Here is a 20760-nt window from a genome sequence, read left to right as displayed (position 1 = left end):
GAGTTGGTTTTGTACTTCCTTGCCGGGTGACCTTGGGTGGTCCTGAGCCTGCTGAGCTTCATTGTCAGCCTATAAAGTGAGGGGTGGGCAGGGGGATTAACTACTCCCCTAAGGCCCTTCAGCTCTAAAAGCCCCAGGGCTTTTAAAAAGCTCTCTTGGCTGAGCCAACCTCCCGGGCCCTGGAGATCCCAGTTCTGCTGTCCCCCAGAGGGCCTGGAGCAGCAGAGGCAGCCGTGGGTGGGAGGGGCTCTATTTTTTATTTCATTCTGAAGCTGACTTTCTCCATCTTCAAGGCCACAGGCTGACATTGAGATTTGGGCTCCGTGTGGGTCTTGGACCTTGAGCCTCCCTCTTTTTTTCTTGGACTCAGCAGAATGGGAAGGTGGCCAGGAGAAGCCCAGCTGGTCCACCCTCCCTGGGTCCAGAGGCAAGCTTGTAGGTGACACTGGTGAGGTCACTTGCTTAGAGGACAAAGCCACCTGCGACAAGACTGACAGCACAGCCCTGAGAAAAATCTTGTTCTCTCCTGTTCACTTTCTGAAGGTGTGTGCTATTAAATGGAAAGAAAAACAGGTGTCTATTTGTCACTCATGGACTGGTCTGTCCCTGCCCACAGGGTTCCAAGGCCCTGTGCTTGTTGTGGGCTCTGGAGCTATTTTTACCAAAAAATCTTTGGTAATTTTTTTTACCAAAAAATCTTTTTACGTGTTCCCAACGTGCACCTAAGTCTCCTGGGCTGCACTTGGCACCTGCCCTCTTTGCTGTTTCAGAGGCTGTGTCTCCTCTGTGTGGCTCTCCTTCAGAGGTTCCGGGATTTCTCTTCAACCTCTAATTCTGCAGATCTTCAGAGCCCCTGCAGAAGCCCATTCCCCTTGAGAAAGTTCCAGAGCTCGCTGCAGGCTGTGGGGAACAAAGGGCTGCCTCAATCCCCAGCTGTCTGTGGGAAGGGAAGCTGGCATGGGTGGAGGCCAAGACTGTCACAGACTGAGCCCCAGGAAGTCCCTGCCACCAATGCCAGGATGTTTCAGGAGGTCGGGGTCTTCCTGGAGCCACATGCTGGGGTTCTCCACGGGGCCCTCTGTACCCTCATGCCTTCCTCACATCACTTCCCCTGGCAGGTTAAAACCCAGTGGAGCACCCTGAGCCACTTCTTAGGCTCCCGCAGCCGCAAAGCTTCCACTCAGTGTGCCGCCCCATTTCCCCTGGATGGAGCCTGGCATTCTCCATGCAAGTCATGGGTGACAGAGAGGATCCCCAGAGACAGCACCCTAACTTTTCGATGCATATGTTGTATCTTGGGATCCACAGATGGTTTTTGGGGTGTTCATCAACTCCCTTATTTCACCAGATCTCCCAGGGGTCCTGGGTCTAGGGAAGTTAATGTCCACTGGGCTGGAGTGTAGCTGGAGAGGTCTGTAGGGGATGCCATGGGGTAGGCTCTGGCTCAGGGACCTCCACCATGCTCAGCCTTTGCTGCAGAATATGAGGAATACATGTCTTCATGTTTCGGCTGCACTGACTCTCTTCCCTCACCTTTGGGGAGAAACTCGGGGTCCACCTAGAACCCCTGATTTTTCACTGGGTGGTGGTGAAAGAAGAGTATCTCAATGGCTGACAGAACTACATAAAGCTTTCTCGGCTACTCGGTGTAAGGCAAGAAGCATTTATGGAACAAGCACTCTTCTCTAGGGCCATTCTGTACAGCCATGCAGGTTACATATTGAACTTCAAGAGGCATCATTCACACAGACCACATTGTGGATGGCACCGTCTGGGAACCGGCCCTAGGGAGAGGGAGAGAGAGAGAGAGAGAGAGAGATAAAGGCTCTTCCTCAACAAGCTCTCAGCAAAGTGGGAAGACAGACATGGACATCAGTAATGACCATTCTGTGGGTGACTGTTGTCACAGTAGAGATGTCTACAAGGGACAACAGGAGCACCGTAGAGGTTTACCTGAGTCTGGAGGACAGTAGGGAAGAAGTTAGATTAAGGGAAATTTCCCAGGGAAGTTTGAACTGAGTCTGAAAGCATTTGCCCAGGAGGTTGGGAGTTTCACGGGCAGGATGAGGAAGGGCATTGCACGGAAGGAACAGCATGCACAGAGGGGAAAGAGCATATGAAGAGTTGAGTAGGAGTAGAGTGGAGGGTGTTCTGGGTATGGAGGACAAGGAAGTGAGGCTTCAGAAGGTAGGCAGAGGCCTGTTGGGAAAAGGTCTGACATTTCCAGCGTGGGGGTTGGGCTTTACCCTGTGGGTGATGAGAGCTGTTGAAATGTAAAGCAGGGGATGGAGAGAGGAAAAGTAGAGAGTGCTTGGATATGCCAGGTCTAGCTTAAGAGCCTTAGCTCCTGAGTGCTATCACTCAGCAAAGCTGCACACACACTCTCGAATCCTCACCTGACAGGCCTGCAGGCCGGGCTCTGAGTGGGTAAGTGGTCAATGCAAGCTGATATGGCCATTAAGATGGCAGCTATGTTTCTGAGTGCTGGTGTGTCTGGCTGCCGAGGTGGGGTGGGAAGGCGCACTTCCCTGTCTCCTCTCCAGAGCCATCCCTTGTGGCCTTCCTGGACCCAGCCCTCCCTCCTGTCCTGGTGCCTGCCCCAGCCATAGCCTCTCCTGCCTCTTCCCATGGCTGGGGCAGAGTGTGTGGATAAGGGAAAATGCAACCAGAACTTGCTCTCTGGGCAGGCTCTTGGCCAAGCTTCACTTCTCATCAAAGCTCACCTACCTCTCAGATGCACGTGGCCTTGGATTCCCCACTCCTCCTTTTAAGGAGTTTTGCCCAGTCTGCCTCCAAACAGCCTATGTCTGGGGTAGGCACGGTGCTTCTTCCTATTGTCATGGCACTGATTTTCCCCCACGTTGGGTGGTCATCACGGCTCTGGGTAATGCATTTTAATGAATTGTTATTTGCTGGACTTGGACCCAAAGGACTTTTTATCATGAAGGGACTCATCCTGAAAACCTTAGTAACTCATTCGCTATTCAAAACCTACCTGCTGGTCCGACAGGGAAGGGTCTGTCTTCACTGAGTCATTGCCAATGAAGGTGACTCCTTTCTTGCAGTCAATATGGCTGGCACCTTTTATTCTTCATGGTTGGGCCGTCTGTCCTAACATCTAAATAAGCAAAACCTCCCTACTTTTCATGAGGAAGAGAAGTGGGGTTTCTTGATCTCAGAGCCCAAAGTGCTGATCAGCTGGGGCGGGTTTCTCTAGATGTCCTCCAGCCATGTGTGTGCCAGGACCCCTGGAGAGCTGGCAAAAATGCAGATTCCTGGCCCCACCCCAGGCCTCTGAGTGGAAGTCCCTGGGGATAGGGTCCTGAAATCTAGATTTTTAACAATCTCCAGAGGAGGTTCTTGTGAACATCAGAATTAGAAAACAGCTGCCCTGAAACCGTGTGACTTTAACATCCCCTATTTGTTTCCTTCGTTCTTTTTTAAGTGTGTGAGATGGCTGCATCCTTACTTTCCTGCATCCCAGCCTGAGCTGCATGGCTAGTGCCGCACACACCTCTGCACCCTTTTCTGGGAGGGAGCCCCGGGGAGTGGGTGCACACCCTAGTCAGCTGGGGATTTTCCTCAGAGCTTTCCAAAAGCATGACTCGTGCATCTGGATTATGGCTGCCCTGGAATAAAGGCCCCGTGGTGCAATCAAGCTCAGCATCGAGGGTGGAGTCTGGAACTCTCTGCAGCTGCTGAGAAGAGCAGGGAGACATCCTCAGACAAAGACAGTGGGGCCATGGAGAGATTTTGGGTTTTGCAACCACCAAGAGGAATGGGCAGGACACTGGACCTTTCAGCCCACAAGAGCAGATGTCCAGGCTGGCTGGGCTTGGGGCCTGGAGCTCTCCACTTGGGGCTGCCTGCAGCTTGTGTTTCTGCTTCAGTTTATCCCACTCCATTGTCACCCGTGACAATGCCCACAGCCCCCAAACATGCAGACCCCTCCCTCTAGCCCATGCCCCATTGTTCTGGATGTCCAGCCTCCTCTCATCTGAGATGCATTCCCCTGAACTGATCACTCCCTTTGTGGCTGCTGGGACTTCAAGAGGATGGCTCTGGAGACCCCTCAGATTAAGAGCTGTAAAGCCACCTCCCCAGCCTCCCTTAAGTCCCTCTCTTATCCTCCTCTACCTTATTTCACTCCTGTCCTCTCTGCCCCCGTCTCTCTTTTGCCCTTCCTGCCTTGATGGATTGAAACCAACATTGTGTTCCGGCTTCTTGTGGTCCCGGTAAAAAGCTCTAATGTGGCCGTGGTGGATGGTGAGAAGGGAATGATGAGAGTGTGTGTGCCGGAGTGGGGGCTGGGGGACTTTTGTCTTGTCTCTGGTGGGAGGAGGAGGGGCACGTGCTCCACAGATCCTGCTGCTATGCTGGGGTTTCAGCAGAGTCCTCATCAGGGCTGGACAGGCCTGGGATCAGCCTGGGTATTCTCAAAACCTCCCTTGGATAGGAAGAGGACAACTCAGCAAAGGTGCTGAGTGGCCTGGAGGGTGCAATCTGGGGCCAAGAGACATTTCCATTTGTAGTTAGCGAACAGGAGTTAATTAAACAATTTGCATCTGTTCGATTTTCTTACTATGCCTTAGTGGCTTGGCTATGATTGTTCCTGATGTTGTTGCTGCAAACAGGAGCCCACTTGGGGATAGATTACATGACAGAACAAGTTTAACATTGACATTTTCAAAATCGATGCTGAGTGGGGCTTGGCCACAGGGGCAAGGAAGGGCTGAGATATCAGGTAGTCAATTCTCTCTCCTGCCTGGGGGATGCCTTCATAGTTTTTCTGTTAGTCATGACTGAGATGCTGCAGGGGCCTATGTGCTTTCTGATTTGAATTTGCCCCCATGGCTCTCACTGTGGAACATGTCTAAGTGGGGAAGCCACTGGACACACCAGCCTTTGCTTTGCAGCTCCCCACTTCTCAGACCACATGAGCATGAACGTGGGGGATGAGGAGGCACAAAGGATGGAGGGGATCACTGGCCCAGGAGGGAAATTCTGGCACCTCACAGTGTAGGTGGCAGAGGGGGTGCCCTGGCTCAGGAGGGGGCCTGCAGCTTTCTAGGGACAGTGAGAAGGAAAGCCAGCTCTTCAGATTTCGGCCAACTTGTCCAAGGGGCCCCATCCTCAAGAGAACCACCCCAGAGCTATGAGTGCATCAGAGGCTCCTGTCTTCAGTGCTTTGCCCCCTAGAAACAGGCGGCTGGGGTCTCTTCTTTTTTTTTGAGATGGAGTCTTGCTCTGTCACCCAGGCTGGAGTGCAATGGTGCGATCTCGGCTCACTGCAACCTCTGCCTCCCAGGTTCAAGTGATTCTTCTGCCTCAGCCTCCCGAGTAGCTGGGATTACAGGCATGTGCTACCACGCCTGGCTAATTTTTTGTATTTTTAGTAGAGGTGGGGTTTCACCATTTTGGCCAGGCTGGTCTTCAACTCCTGACCTCAGGTGATCCACCTGCCTCAGCCTCCCAGAGTGCTGGGATTACAGGCATGAGTCACCATGCCAGGCTGAGGTCTCTTCTTTTATGTGTAGCAAGGAGCTCAGTTCTTTGGAGAGAGTGGGCATGAAGGTCAGCCTCCCTCATCCTACAGGGAGAGGACCCCTTTACGATGATAATAGGGGGTTGGAAGAGGCAGCTGTGCCTGGTCCTGCATCTTAGCAGCCTTTAGGGGTCTAGGCACAGGGCCAGGTTGGTGGAGATTCAGAATGTATTTTAGCCAAAACCCCTTTTCAGTTCAGACCAGCCCTGGGCCCTGGGCCCTGGGCTGCTGCAATACTTTGGTCCTGTGTTGTCTGGGGCTGGTGTTGGCTGAGGTCCCAAAGCCTTGGGGAAAACTGGGGGCAGAGGGGTGGATCTGGAGAGGTCAGTAAATGAGGAGGGCATCCAGTCCCTGGGGTGTGTGTGTGTGTGTGTGTGTGTGTGTGTGTGTAGAGGGATGCAAGTGCCTGGTGGAGCATCTTTGTGCCAGTTCTCTGTGTTGTAACATGGCTGGCCTGTGGTCTGTGTGTGTGTATGTTGATTGGGATGTTCCTGTTTTGTGGTTGTCTGATCACTTGTTTTTGGCCATGGGCTTCTGTCAGAGTGTTTATTTTTAGAGGCTGCCACTTCTGGCCTAAGGGCTGATCCTTGGGCATGGTAGGAACATTTGTATTTTCTGAAATATTTGTGGCTTTAAGTATTTATTTGGGGGTATTCCTGCCTGTTATGTGTTTATTCTAATTTGTGTGTATGTGTGTGTGTGTGTGTTTGTGATATGAGGGAGGTGTAGCATAATAAAAATTACATACTGTTTGAAGGAAATTAGCTCTGATTTTAAATCTTGGCTTTATCAGGTAGCATTGTTGGCACATAAATGGTTTCCCCTCTCAGAGGCTCAGTTTCTCCCTTACTGTGATGGGTGTAATACTGTCTGGCTCGGAGGCGATGGCTAGAGAGGATGTGCGTGTAGAGTGCCTGGCGAAGTGTTGGCGTTTGCGCTGTGCTCACTGCACGGTGGTCACTGTTGTTGGTATTTGTGTGTACATGTTCATGCCGGTGCTGTCTGACTGTGGTTCTTGGCATTGTGTGGCACCTAGTGTGTGCTCATGCCTGGGTGTTTCTGATTTGGGTGATCTCTTACTGTCTTTTTGTCTGGCTCGGTGTGTGACTGCTGGTGTCTGGCTGGAGCTGGTGCAGTCTTTGGGAGCTGGCTTTTTTCCTTGCTAACGGAGAGCCTGGATTAGAGTAAGGGGAGGTGCGTGCGTGCGTGTGTGTGTGTGTGTGTGTGTGTGTGTGTGTGTGTGTGTGTCTGTCGGGGCTGGTGGCTGGGCTGCTGACTGTACAGGGTGTGAAATCACTGAGTTCCTCTGGGCGGGGAAGTTCTTCATTCCTGAGTCAGCCCTTTGGCCCCGAGCCACCCAGCGCTCACTTTTTCCTTCCAGAGAAAGTGTTGCTCAGGGGGGTCCTCAGAGCTGTCTGCAGACAAGAGGACCCTCTCCCCCATGAAGACATCTTGTTTTTGTGTTCACGATCCCTAAGACGCTTCCCCTCCTGCCCTAGTCCCTGAACCCCCTGCATCAGCACCCTATATGCCCCCCATCCTCCAGCATAGGAAAAGCGTGTCCCCTCTGGCACAGGGACTGTTGGCTTGGCTGAGCCCCACCTTGGCCTGTTCTTCAGGGGCCCCCGGGCTGGCTCAGAGCAGTGGGATCAGGATGCTCGTCTTTGCAGACCTGCTGTGATCCTGCCCGGCATACCTTCCCAGGACCCGCGTCCCTTTCCTGGAGTCTTGAGTGGTATGGGCTGAGCTTGCTGGTGGAGGGGTAGGGGTCCATCAGGAGTGGGCAGTGCTGGGGAGGAGCTGGGAGGAGCCTCTGGAAATGTGGCAGTGGGCAGCATGAATGACATTGTATCTCTGAATGGTTCTATCACATCCTTTGCATTGAGCTGGAGACAAATCTAGCTGAGGGCAAGCTTGTCTTAGAGAGTCCCAGCTCTGCCTTCAGCCTCCCTGCCACCACCACCTTGGGCATGGTGGGGCCCTTTGCTGCACCCTACTGCCCTCCTGGGTTCTCCCCCTGCTTCCGTGGGCAAAGGCTATCCTCGGGGCGACTGGCCGTCCATGCTGATACCTCTATGGGCATTCAAGGCAATGGCTACTCTCCTGGCATTCTGCCTCTAATCCAGAGTGGGAACTCCAGACATCGAAGCAGGGGTGAGACTTTTTGAGATGGGGTGGCGGAGGGGACTGAGGATGCTTTGGAAATGGTCATTCAGGAATTAATGATACTCATAATGGTGATGGTTAGGGCTCCCAGCTGTTGAACTCCCATCACGTGCCAGGAACTGGTCTCAGCATGTCATGTGTCAACTCATTTAAACTCAAAGCACAGTGTATTTAATGAATATTGGCAATTTCAGATGGTTCAACCAGATTCTATTATTATCCCCATTTTATGGACCAGGAGGCTGGCTCAGAGAGTTATTCATGCCTCTGGTCAGGAAGCTGGTGAAATGCCAGAGCTAGGCTTGGGACTGGAGCGATTTGCCCCCAGCACTTCCTGCTCAGTGTTGGGCTCCACTGCCCGGCCCTGAAGCTGAGTGTTGGTGAGGCTCTGCCCCAAAGCCTGGGGTAGAGGTCTTTCTGTCAGCTCCCCTTTTCCCCACCTCAGGGTGGTGAGAGGAGGTTTTAGGATGCAGGGCATGGGAGCTCTTAGCTTCTTTCTCTGGCAGAGTGGATGATACCCCTGCCTCCCGCTAATGTCTGTTGTCTGTTGTCTCCCCTCCGGCTCTGTCCCTTGCAGAGGTGGTGGGACACACGCAGGGGCCACTAGATGGGAGCCTGTATGCTAAGGTGAAGAAGAAAGACTCCCTGCACGGCAGCACCGGGGCTGTTAATGCCACACGTCCTACACTGTCGGCCACCCCCAACCACGTGGAACACACGCTTTCTGTGAGCAGCGACTCGGGCAACTCCACAGCCTCCACCAAGACCGACAAGACCGACGAGCCTGTCCCCGGGGCCTCCAGTGCCACTGCTGCCTTGAGTCCCCAGGAGAAGCGGGAGCTGGACCGCCTGCTGAGTGGCTTTGGCTTAGAGCGAGAGAAGCAAGGCGCCATGTACCACACCCAGCACCTCAGGTCCCGCCCAGCAGGGGGCTCGGCTGTGCCCTCCTCTGGACGCCACGTTGTCCCAGCCCAGGTTCATGTCAATGGTGGGGCGTTAGCATCTGAGCGGGAGACAGACATCCTGGACGATGAATTGCCAAACCAGGATGGTCACAGTGCGGGCAGCATGGGCACACTCTCTTCTCTGGACGGGGTCACCAACACCAGTGAGGGGGGCTACCCAGAGGCCCTGTCCCCACTGACCAACGGTCTGGACAAGTCCTACCCCATGGAGCCTATGGTCAATGGAGGAGGCTACCCCTACGAGTCTGCCAGCCGGGCGGGGCCTGCCCATGCTGGCCACACGGCCCCCATGCGGCCCTCCTACTCTGCACAGGAGGGTTTAGCTGGCTACCAGAGGGAGGGGCCCCACCCAGCCTGGCCACAGCCAGTGACCACCTCCCACTATGCCCATGACCCCAGCGGTATGTTCCGCTCTCAATCCTTTTCGGAAGCTGAACCCCAGCTGCCCCCAGCTCCGGTCCGAGGGGGAAGCAGCCGGGAGGCTGTGCAAAGGGGACTGAATTCGTGGCAGCAGCAGCAGCAGCAGCAGCAGCAGCCTCGCCCACCTCCACGCCAGCAGGAAAGAGCCCACTTGGAGAGTCTTGTAGCCAGCAGGCCCAGCCCTCAGCCATTGGCAGAGACCCCCATCCCCAGTCTCCCTGAGTTCCCGCGAGCAGCCTCCCAGCAGGAGATTGAACAGTCCATCGAAACACTCAATATGCTGATGCTGGACCTGGAGCCAGCCTCCGCTGCTGCCCCACTACACAAGTCCCAGAGTGTCCCCGGGGCCTGGCCAGGGGCTTCTCCACTCTCCTCCCAGCCCCTCTCTGGATCCTCCCGTCAGTCCCATCCACTGACCCAGTCCAGATCTGGCTATATCCCCAGTGGGCATTCGTTGGGAACCCCTGAGCCAGCCCCACGGGCCTCTCTGGAGTCTGTCCCTCCTGGCAGGTCTTACTCACCTTATGACTATCAGCCATGTTTGGCTGGGCCTAACCAGGATTTCCATTCAAAGAGCCCAGCCTCTTCCTCCTTGCCTGCCTTCCTTCCGACCACCCACAGCCCTCCAGGGCCTCAGCAACCCCCAGCCTCTCTCCCTGGCCTCACTGCTCAGCCTCTGCTCTCACCAAAGGAAGCGACTTCAGACCCCTCCCGGACTCCAGAGGAGGAGCCATTGAATTTAGAAGGGCTGGTGGCCCACAGGGTAGCAGGTAAGAGGTATTCAGTCCTGACTCCTTCTACCCCTTCCTTATTTGGTCTTGCTGGGGGGAGGTGCAGGTCCAGCCATGACCCCTAAGCAGATGTTGCTTTCACTGGTGGGAGGAGGCTCTCAGGAGCCTATATGCTAGCCAGTTATCCCTTCCTGCATTCATTGTCTGATAGGCACCAAGCCAGACACCAAGTTTCAAAGTTCAATGTCAAGCAATTCCTGCCCTCAAGAAATTTACAGTCTAGTGAGCGGACAGATACACAGACAGATGATTTCATTAGAGAGTAATGTGTACGGTGACAGAGGTGGGACCAAGATCCCAGAGCCTGGGAAAGCAAAGCTTACCACCTAGGGCAGTCAGGGAAAGCTTCCAGGAGGTGGTGACTTTGGGGTTGGAGTACAGACTTTCTAGACACAGAGGAGACTCTGCAATTGCCTGTCGTGCTGTCTGTCCTCAGACTTTAGTTCCTTGGGGGAGACGTGGAGAAGGCTGGAGGGAGGCCTTTGTAGACTCAAATTCCCTCTTAGGTCCCGCTCCTAGAGGCCATGAAAGAGTCCGAGAGGGTATCCTCAAGCCCTTAGGCTCTATCTGCTGGGGCGGGGAGGCCAAGGTTCCCCTTCTAAGTCAGTTTTCCTGTTAGTCTTTGCTGAGGACCAGCCCTGTATGGGAAGTAGGTGCTGAGAGACAAAGCTCCTTTTCCTATCAGAGAGTGGGCTTCTCTTTTGGGAGAGAGGAAAGTGGGACACTCAGAAGAGCTTTTGGGGAGACAAAGGCAAGAAATGACAGCATGTCTGGGGCCATGTTGGGAGAGACAGCTGCGAGGTTCCCTTCCCACTGGTCTAAGCCTATGCCCATTCCACAAGGGTGGCTGAACTTGGCAGGAAAACCTGTTGGGTGACTTTATTCTGGAGGTGGAGCCCAGACAGGGGTGGACCAGAGACTGTGGATTTGGGTGGACCTTGTGCCAGCCCCTCAGCTGACAGGGTGGTGGGAGCTCAGCGAGGAGGAGAGGAGCCTGGGCAGCTGTCTCTGTCCTCCACCCCTTTTCCTAAATTTAGGGGAAGCTGAGTCACCATGCCAGCTGCAGGGAGGGAAGGAAACACCCTCCCTGGAGATGGACCGTGGGTTTAGGGAAGCAGCTTGGGGCAGGCCAGCTGGCTCAGGACCTGGTGTGGGGACACAGGCTCCCTGCTCCTATACTTCAGAGCAGAGCAGAGTCCCCAGCTCCACTATTGGTATAATAGCTTGAAATTGGCCATTGCAGGAGTATTTACACCATGGAAATTGGCAATCAGCCTCACCTCCCATAGAGAGCTGGCCTAGCAGTAACAATTCCTTTTACCTGAGCATCGGAACAAAGGATGGGCAGTTCTTAACCTCGGATGAAACGCTCCATGGGTGGTCCATATGGGCTTTGACTTCTGCCTTCTCCCACATCTGGGCCCCTGAGATAAAGATACCCCCCTGGCTTTGTCAGCAGAGATCCTTTTCTTCTTGGTTTTTTTGAGGTGAGAGGGATGGGGCTTTCTGAATTCCCTGGGAATTTAATTCCTCTCCCAATATTTTGCAAGGTTGGAGTGGTGGCCTAAAGATTAGTGACACGCTAGTCTAATGAGGGGCAGGATCCAGGAGCCTTCTCTCTGGGGGAGCAGAATACATTTCCTCCCCTACAAGAACCCTTCCATGCAGCTCTCCTGGAGCTTGCTCAAGAGGAGGCCATAACCCTAATGGCCCTGGGAGGATGCCCATCTTGTAGTGGACTGCCTTTTAGCCCTTTCTCTCCTACCAGCTTTCGAAGGCTTGACTGTCAACTTCCATATTCTGTAGCCTCTCAGGCTTTGGCTGCCATGAAGTCATAGATAGGGAAGGATACTGTTGGCACAATGTTCCCATTCCCTAACCCTGTTGCCATTTCCTCCATCAACTGGGAGTGACTCAAGAGAAGGGATGAAATGTATAGAGGGGACACTTATATTTGGCTCCCAGGTCTATGAAGTTGCCTCTTTGGTTCAAGCCCTGTCATTATGACAGAATTTATGTCAGCAGGTCCTGCATGAGTAACTTCCTTAGTAGCCTTTCAGGGTATCTGCAGTGCCTGTGTAGATAAAGGCAGACAGACAAGATCAATGTGTGGAAAAGTCTGGGAGGCAGGGAAGATAGATTTCAGCACTACTTCTTTCTGCTCTGTCTACATCTCTGCCGTAAGAAGCTGGAACATACACTTTGACATGAGTAACCTAGGAAGCTCAGATCTGTGGGAGAACCTCTTCATGGCCATGAACTTGATCTGGTTTCTCCTGGCTTTCCTCCCCCAGGTCTGCCTTTTCCCCATTGGCTGTCCTCCATACCTCAGTCTCAAGTCCCTGGTTTATTCCACTTTGATCCAATCACCCTTGTGCCTTATTCCAGCTTAAGTTGTAGAGGAGAAGGTAGGGGCAGTTTTCTAATTTGATAAAGGGTAGGGACCAGAAATTTATAGCATACATCACACTTTCCTGTGGAGCATTGGAAGCGTTCCTATTAGAGCCAGGGACAAAATAAGGATGTCTGTTATCACCACTTGCATCTAACATTGTATTGGATGTCCTAGCCAGTGCAATAAGACAAGAAAAAGAAATAAGAGTCAGAGTTGGAGAGTCCAACTGAGTTATCTTATGTCCCTGATTCTGTGGCTGGACTGATCTCAGATGTCTCTAGAGGTGGAGATTTCAATACATGTTGGAAATCAGATATGGATCTTATCCTTAAGGAGTCTAGAGTTTAATAGGGGGAAAAAAGAACTGGAACTTTAAAATAGTCTTTTGTAATAAGAGAGATAAGGAGAAAGCTCTGCAGGAGAGAGGTGAAGCGATTGCTGTCAGCTAGTGATGGGGAAGGCAGTGTTAAGTGTGGTTTTAAACTGAGCCTTGGAAGATGGAATAGGATTTTGAAAGTAAACGGGATCACTGGGCAGAGAGGGTTCACAGTGAAGACAGGAGAGCACAGAAAATGTTTGGAGAATGGCAAGTAGATTGAGAACATATGGTCTGTGTGAGTGACAGTCGGGATAGGTAGCCTGGGGTCTGTCTCTGGATGATCTTAAATACCGGACTAAGGAGCTTGCATCTTACCTGGCAGCAATGTAGGAAGCCATTCCTGTGGTTTCATGGGGGGAACATGCCATGACCAGAGCTGAGGTTCAGGATGATGTGTCTGGTGGGTCTGGGCAGGAAGGACAATAAATGGGAGAGACTTTGAGCCAGGAGATGATAGGAGCTTATTAGATAGCCTAAGTGGTGCGGGGCTGGATTAGGGTGCTGACCATAGGAATGCAAATGAAGAGATGATGCAGTGGATACTGTGGGGGTAGAACCAATGCACTTATGTGTTGATTGGCTGGAGCGGATGAGGGAGAAGGATCATCAAAAATGATTCTGAGCTCCATGAATAGAAATAGAATGATGGTTCTGTTAACAAGCAGGAAGGCAGGAGGAGGACGTTGGGTGGAAGATGAAGCCTTGGTGTTAGACATGTTGAGTTTGAGGGGAGAGTGGAGCCTCCAGGGAGAGACATATGGAAGGCAGCTGAACTTTGGAATTGAGTGTGAAAGAAAAGGAAGAGCTACAGGTTTTGGAATCATTCTCACAAAGGTGATGGTTAAAGCTTTGGGTGTATGTGAGATCTCAATGTCAGAGGGCTTGGAGAGAAAAGAACTTAGGATGGAATGGCCATGAAGGGAGGTAGAGGCTGTAAAGGGGCTGAGAGTGAGTGTTCGGGTGGTGGCAGGAGACCAGGACAGCATGTCATCATAGAAGTCAAGATGGTAAAGGGTTTCAAGGAGGAAGGGCAGGAGATTAGCAGTGTCAGCCTGAAGAGATCATGAGGAGGACTGAGAAAAATCCACTGGGCTTGCAAATTAGGCAGCCCTGTGTAAAACATCAAAGGCATATTTTTAGTGCGTGTTGGTGACAGAAACCAGACTGTGGGGGATTGAGGATGAGTGGAGAAGGAGTGAAGACAGCAAGCCAAGTACTCTTTTCAGTGGTTTTGTGATAAGAGAGGAGAGAGTGGTAGCTAAAGAGGATAGTGAGTGATTGGGAACTTTTTTGTAAATATAAGAGTCATGAGAATGTTTGTATGTAGAAGAGGAGGGGAGTAGGTTGGACATGGGGGGAGGAAGGATGAGAAAAAGAAGAGAAAGAAAGAAGTTGATAGAATAAGGTCTCTAAGGAGGTAAGAGGGGACAGGCCTAGGAGCCCATGTAGGTAAATTAGGCTCAACCAGGAGGTGAGATACCTCTTCATGAAATTAGAATAAAGGATAGATAAAGATAGAGGGAAATATTGATGTCAAGCTTTGGGAGCTTGAAGTGAAAACTCTTGTGTTTTTTTTTTTTTACATTTTGTTCTGAAAATAGGAGATGAGTTGAAGGCTCATTCAATCATTCGATTCAACATGAACTTCTAATGGGTGCTGCTTGCCAGTCTAGGCTTTGTGAAAATGGTGGCAAATAAAGATCCTTGCCCTTACAGCAGAGATGGATACTGAGCAAATAAGCACATATACATAGGATATGTCAGATAGGTGATACGTGCCATTGAGATAAAGCAGTGAGAGGTAGGGGGTGGCTGGCTGCACTTTACATGGGATGATCAGGGCTGGGCAGCGAGAGATGAGCCCCATGGAGCAACAAGTGCAGAGGCCCCGAGGCAGGAGTGTGCCTGGCATGGCTGGAGTAGAGTGATCAAGGGAGGCATAGCAGGACACAAGTTCAGAGAGGAAATGGGAACAGGGACAGCTTACAGAGGGTCTTTGAGGTGATTGTAAGAATGGTGGCTTTTACTCCGTGTGGCATGAGAAGCCTTAGGAAGGATTTGGGCCCAAGAGTGACATCATCTGACTTGTTCTGAATTGACCAGGGTGGGCAGGATGGAAGGAGGGAGAGCAGTTAGGTGGCTGCTGCTATTGATCTGGGCAGTGGCCATGGAAAGGGGAGAAGTGCTCGGATTTTAGACATATTTTGGAGGTAGAGCCAACAAGATTACTGATAGATTACACATGGAATGAGAGAGAAAGAGAAAAGTCAGAGACAACGCTTAGGTCTGGGGCCTGAGCAACTAAAGAATGGAGTTGCTCTTTATTGAGATGGGTAACAATTTATGAAGAGCAGTTTCAGGGGAACACTAGAAACATGACTTTTGGACACATTAAGTTTGAGATGACCATGAAACATCTGCAGTGGTTGGATAAATGAGTCAGGAGTTTAAGGAGAAGAGGCTGGAACTTAGAGATATGGGAATTGTTGACGTGTACATACCAGATTAAGCATAGCACTGGGCAATGTCACCGAGGGGTTGAGGACAGGTAAGGAGAGGTCCCAAGGATGGAGTCCTGGAACCTCCCACATTCCAAGGCTACAGACAGGAGGAGGGAACCAGCATAGGAACTGGCATGGAGCAGCTTGTGAAGGAGAGGAAAGGTAACATAGCTTGAACTCTGGGGGCCAGGGCAGGGGCAATGTTGGCCACTCCTGTGGCCCCTGTGGTGTGAAGGTGGGTTAGAAGTCAACAAGGGGCAAGGAAAGGATAACATAGCAGGTCCTTCTAGTGCATCTGAGAAGGTTCATCTTAAGGACTTTTCTGGTGATGACCAGAAGCTGGGGGCCAGAGCAGAAAAGCACAAGGGGTTCCCCAGGAAAGAGGATCACTCAGATGGCTGTGGTAAGGAGCCAGGGTGTGAGAGAGGGTGACCCTTGGGCTCAGGCTGGGTGTGTTACCTGGGTCCAGGGAGAGGCAGGTGCCCAGGAAAAGATGGGTGGTCCAGGGACAGGCCTGCTGCCTATGGGAGCAGGTGAGGGATGCGTGAATTCTCCTGGTCCCACGATGGCACCTCTGCTTCCACCCTGGGGTTAGAAGAGAGGGAAACGCTGTGGTGCTGGCCAGCAGGAGGTCCATCTGCCTCTTGGAGAAGCAGGACCTTGGATCCCCCTCTCTTCCTGTCTGATACCTTCCCCACCTCCCTCCAGTGTGTGCCCAGATACCAGAGTCAGAACACCAACTAATCTTGATTTTCTCTTTGTTTTTGTTGTGTTTTGTCCTGTTTAATGCCCCGTCCCCTGCACTCTCTGTGTTTCCCATGTCCATCTGTTCCCTGTGCTGTTGGTGGGGTGCCTGCCTTGCCCCATATCCTCCCTTCCTTCCTGCCTCCCACTCCCTGCTGGCTCCCCTGGGGTGGGGGGTGGGCAGCGTACAACGCCAGGCTGCAGGGCATCGGACACAGTGGCAGCTTCCCGCCCCCTCCTCTCCACCGGCTCCAATCTTCCTCCCTCTCTGGTGGGTGGCTCTCCTTCCCCCTTCTCCCTTTCCAGCTCTTTGGCCCACTTTTGAGCATCAGTTTCTTTTCACTCCTTCTTCATGTGCTATTCCTTCCAAATCTTTCCCACCTTCTTCCTTCTCTCCTCTGTCTTTTCCTCTCCCTCTTCTGTTGTTCTCTGGTTTCCATCTGTTTCTCCTTCTCCTTCCCCATTTCTCACTATCCTCTCTTCTGTCTCCTCACTTACTTCTCCATCCCTCCTCTCTCCAGCCCTCTCTCCCTCCTGTCTGCATGAGCCAGAGCTCACTTCTGCATGAACATGGGCCTCATGCTAGCCTTGGCCTTGCCTGCTGGGAACAATGCCTGGAATAACTAGACTAACATTCAGGGTCCCCTGAGGAGATGCAGGCCTTTGCAATGAGGGTGCTCAGGAGGGCTCTGGACAGTCCAGCACTCCGGCCACCCTGGCCAGACTGCCTGGGCTGCAGGGCTAGGTCTCGGCAGGAGCCAGGCTGAGCTTTGCATGGGGCCACCAGACACAACACAGAGTGGTGCCCCAGCCCCTGCTGCTCTGTCCACTCTAGAGCATGGCACACCCTGGGGACAGCGTACCCCCTCTGGTCCCACTCCTAATCTCTGATCCCATGGCCAAGAGTCAGAAGCCCTGGGTTGGGGTCCTGGCCCTGCCTGAGACCACCTCTGTGACCTTGGGCAAGTTTCTTAACTGTTTAGAGCTCAATTTCCCAGTCTGAGAAGTGGACAGATGATAGTCCTGTCCTGTTGTGTATTTTGCACGGTGGTTTGACATGCCCTGGACCTTGTGGATGCTTCACTGGGGTCACAGTAATTCATTTGAGAATGATGCCGTCCACTAACATCTACCCCTGGCCTCTGGGACACGCAGGCCCTTAGGCGTTGAGCCCTGGCCAGGGAATCACCTCTTCCTTCCCCTGCTCCTCTGACACTGGAGGCTGGGTCAGGGAAGATGCCATGCTCAGGCCTGCCCTACACCATGCCCCTGAGCAGCTCCAGGAAAAGGCCTAGGGGAAATGGGAACTGTTGATTCCCAATGTCAGTTATCTGGTGCCTCCATGGTCCCTTCTTCTCCCAGTCCAGGGATGATCAGGAGATGGCTCTAGCAGACTGCTCCCTTCAACCGCCCCTCCCTCCTTTCTTCTTCCTCTGCCCTTCTCTCAGCCCAGTGGTGGGGAGTGTAGTGTTCAGCTGGGCCTGGGTAGGGGCAGGTTCTGGGATGGTGGGCCTGCCTCAAGGGGAGCTGGCATGGCTTGCCCTAGGGCTGCTAGTGTGATCGCCGTGTGGCTTTCTGGCACCCTGGCCCAGCAGGTGGCCTCCCGGATCCCCTCGCTTCTGGAGCCCCAGGCATGCTGTCGGACACCCAGCCCTGCTACCTGGACCTGAGGAATCCAGTCTTTTGGAAATCGGAAGACTGGAAAGAAGAGCTGGGTCTGTGAGGGTGGCAGTGGCCAGTCTGGGGGGTGCAGAGGAGGCACATCATGAAGCCTGACACCAGGGTACTCGTCACGTGATCCAGGGGTGGTGGGCAGCAGTGCTTTGCCAAAGTACATGTATCGGTCTGTGTCAGGGCTACAGCTCCCAGAATTGCAGGGTGTGCGAGTGTGCGTGTGAGTGTGTGTGCGTGTGTGTGTCAGATGAAGGGGATTAATTGCCTCCAGTCTGGCTCATGCTAGGGGAGCCTTGGAGTGAGCTGTTGTCCAGCACAGCACTGTCCTGGCAGAAGAGTGACGCCTCCCTGGGAAGGGGGCTGCTCTGGTGCCCTGCTCCTCAGGTCTGGGGGCCTGTGTGGAACCCTGGGGCTGGGATAACTGCTCATCCTGGCAGGGCTGTGGGGAAGGCCTGATGCCCGTGTATGAAGCAGCCCTTAGAGAACGCCCAGGGCTCCTTGAACATAGGGTGTTAGGGTCCTAAAGATACTTTGTTGTCATAAGGGTACCCCAGCCTTCTCAGCCTCCTGGGAGCTTCTCTTCCTTTCTTCCTCTGGCCACACGGCCTCCTGCTGGGGTAGGGGCTGGCCCTAGAGGTTCTGAGGGTGACCCAGTGGCCCCACTATGTACCCCCATCATCCCAGTGTCCTGCTGCCATTTCTGTTAGGCTGTGTGTGTGTGTGTGTGTATGTACATGCAAGCATGCACATGTGTGTCTGTGCAAGGCACCTGCCTCTGCCTAGGTGGGTGTAGGAGACAGAGGCCCTGAGAGAGAGAATGGGGCCAAAGACTGAGAAAGTCCTGGGGTGGAGGGTGGTGGCGGGAGGGAGGGAGGTGGGGAGAGCAGGCCTATTTTTATTATCAGTCAGACTCTGGGACGTGAGAGAGGGTGTTCTCTCCATGACACTGGTTGTCAGCTTGTGTCCAGACACCCTAGCTTGGCTAAGGAACAATGGGGCTCTCTTCTCTCCCCTCTGCCACGCCAGTCTCCCCTCCCATAGAGCAAGACAAGAGAGAGGGAACATGTCTCTCCAGGCACTCCAGGCGGATCTGGGCTTGCCAAGGGGGACAACAGTGGGACACTGTGTTCAAAGAATGTGAGTGGCCCTGACTGGCCATTGGTGCCATGGGGCCATTGGTGCTCTGCAGGGGAGGGGCTGGCCCCGTGGGAGTGGAATGCAGGGTCTTACCCTTCCGCAGAGGGAGGCACTGCCCTGCAGCTCCTTAGCTCTTTGGAGGTCATTCCCTCCATTTCCCTGCCTCTGGTCAGAACATGCTCCCACGTGCCATTCTGGTGGTGATGGAGAGAGGATTGGGAAGGTGCAGCTCACCCTCAGATGGCTGACTGCCTCATGCCAGGATCTCACATTCTCTACGGATGTCAGGTGCCCCCTGCACCCCAAGCTGCTGCAGGCATCTGTGGCCCCTGAACATGGAGAAAGCTTTGGGAAGGTTGGGCAGAATGTTCTTTGTTTGTCCAGGAGATTCGGTGCCTCAAATGCAAACAGATCTATTTTTTAATGGCAAACGTCAGATCCCCAAGCAGGGAAACTGGCCACCCCTTGAAAAGGCAGAGGGATCTGCCAGAAAGAGCTGCTGGGGGCAGAGGAGCCCGGAACTGAGACCAGCCCTAATGCATTTATTTTAACCTTGGGGCTGAACTGAGTTCCAAACCCCAAGAGCGTCTCCCAAATGGGCTTCTTCTGTCACAATTATTGTTAGAAAATCAATGGCTATGTCTGTTTCTCTCTAATGTTTTTGCCAGGAATGAAATCAGTGGCAGTGTTGGTCCAAGCTGCCCAGGAGACCTGAGTGGGATGGGGGCTCCGGGGAGCTAAGGCCTGGGAGCCTGGGGTTGCTGCAGGGTTGCAGCAAGCTGCCCACCCTTCCCAAAACCACGCCCTTCTTTCCTTCAGGTAGATGCTCCTGGCAGCCCCTGGCTGGGTCTAATGGGACTCCTATTTTTCTGTTCTGCGAATAAGGGCTCTTCAAGGTGTGGGGCTTGTTTGCTTTAAGTGGAACAGTTTGTAAGTGGCAGAGTGAGGTCAGAGTCTAGTTTACTGTCCCCATCCTGGGCGCTATTTTCTTAGCTGAGATGGCAGCAGGGCTGCCCCTGATTAATAAAAAGCCCAAAGCGGAGACTCAGGGCACCACTCGGTACCTTCTGCATTTAATGTGCAAATGCCAGTCCTGCTGCTCTCCTGATGCGCCCCCCACCCCCGATTATGGGAGCCCCTGATTATGGGAGAGTATGAGGGCGTGTCTCAGAGTGGCTGTGCCTATGTGAGTGTAAGTGTGTGTCTGCCCGTAGGCTTGGCAGCCGGCAGCCTGCTGTTCATGACAAGTAGGAAGGCTTCCCAGGTGGCGCTGTTTATGGCAGCCTTTGTGGCTGTGCCAGACTGGGGGTGCTGGGGGGCGTGGCTGGGGACATGCAGTCCTCACTGTGGATGGCAGAAGATGTTTCTGTCTGAATGAGGGTGATTTCTGCTTGGCTGTACTGGCACATTCCTAGGGGCTGGCAGTGTGTGTGCAGTGTGTGTGCACACACGCTGACCCATGTGACCTGAGGCCTTTGTTAAGTCCTAGTGGTGGTGAAAGCAGGGCGGGGAATCTCTTCCCAGAAGAGAGTCAAGACCAGAAGCCCACGCTTCAGGCTGGGTCTTGGCCTCTGGGACCCAGGAAGTGAGTTTTCTAGGATTCTGGGAGCCAGCTCAATGAGGCAATGGATTCCGTGCCTCAGCCCAGCTGTGGGAAGAGGGAGTGGGAAGGAAGGAGGGTGAGATTAACAGCATCCCCAGGCCTGTGGAATGGGATTGGGATGGGAAGTACAGAAAAGCAGATGGAGCACACGACTTCTCTCTGTCTGCTCTTCAGCTGGGAGGGACATGGTGGGATCCGCCGCTATCTTTGGGGCAGGGAAAAGGGGGCGGGGAGCTAAGAGGCCAGTATAAGGGGAGTTGGTAAGAGGTTCAGCGGTACACCGGATGAAGTTGGGGAACCCCAGAGAAAGCCAAAAATATCCCAGAGGCCAACTGGGGCTGGGGACTTCGTAACAAGGCTTAGTCATGTCTTTGTTTCTCCTTGGGAGCACCATTTGCAAGATGATGCAATTTAGCCCTTTCCAAGAGTTCTTCCCCACA

At 53.2% G+C, this 20760-nt stretch overlaps 1 protein-coding gene across 28 annotated transcripts in view; it reads left to right on the top strand.

Annotated features, from left to right (window-relative positions):
- TNS1 (tensin 1) overlaps window positions 1–20760 on the top strand; it is a 234192-nt gene that overhangs the window by 176607 nt on the left and 36825 nt on the right. For 13 of the 28 annotated variants that reach the window (XM_047445637.1, XM_047445639.1, XM_047445638.1 and 10 more), the window contains 2 exons: window positions 8289–9866; window positions 16091–16177. In XM_047445637.1, coding sequence (XP_047301593.1) covers window positions 8289–9866; window positions 16091–16177 — 1665 coding nt within the window. Of the gene's footprint in view, window positions 1–7187; window positions 7700–8288; window positions 9867–16090; window positions 16178–20760 lie in introns of those variants that run through there. The other 15 variants (NM_001438865.1, NM_001438866.1, NM_001387777.1 and 12 more) reach the window with 4 other exon arrangements.

This window comes from Homo sapiens, chromosome 2 (assembly GCF_000001405.40).
Source record: "Homo sapiens chromosome 2, GRCh38.p14 Primary Assembly".
NCBI lineage: Eukaryota > Metazoa > Chordata > Mammalia > Primates > Hominidae > Homo > Homo sapiens.
This window is presented reverse-complemented; position numbering and strand designations above follow the sequence as displayed.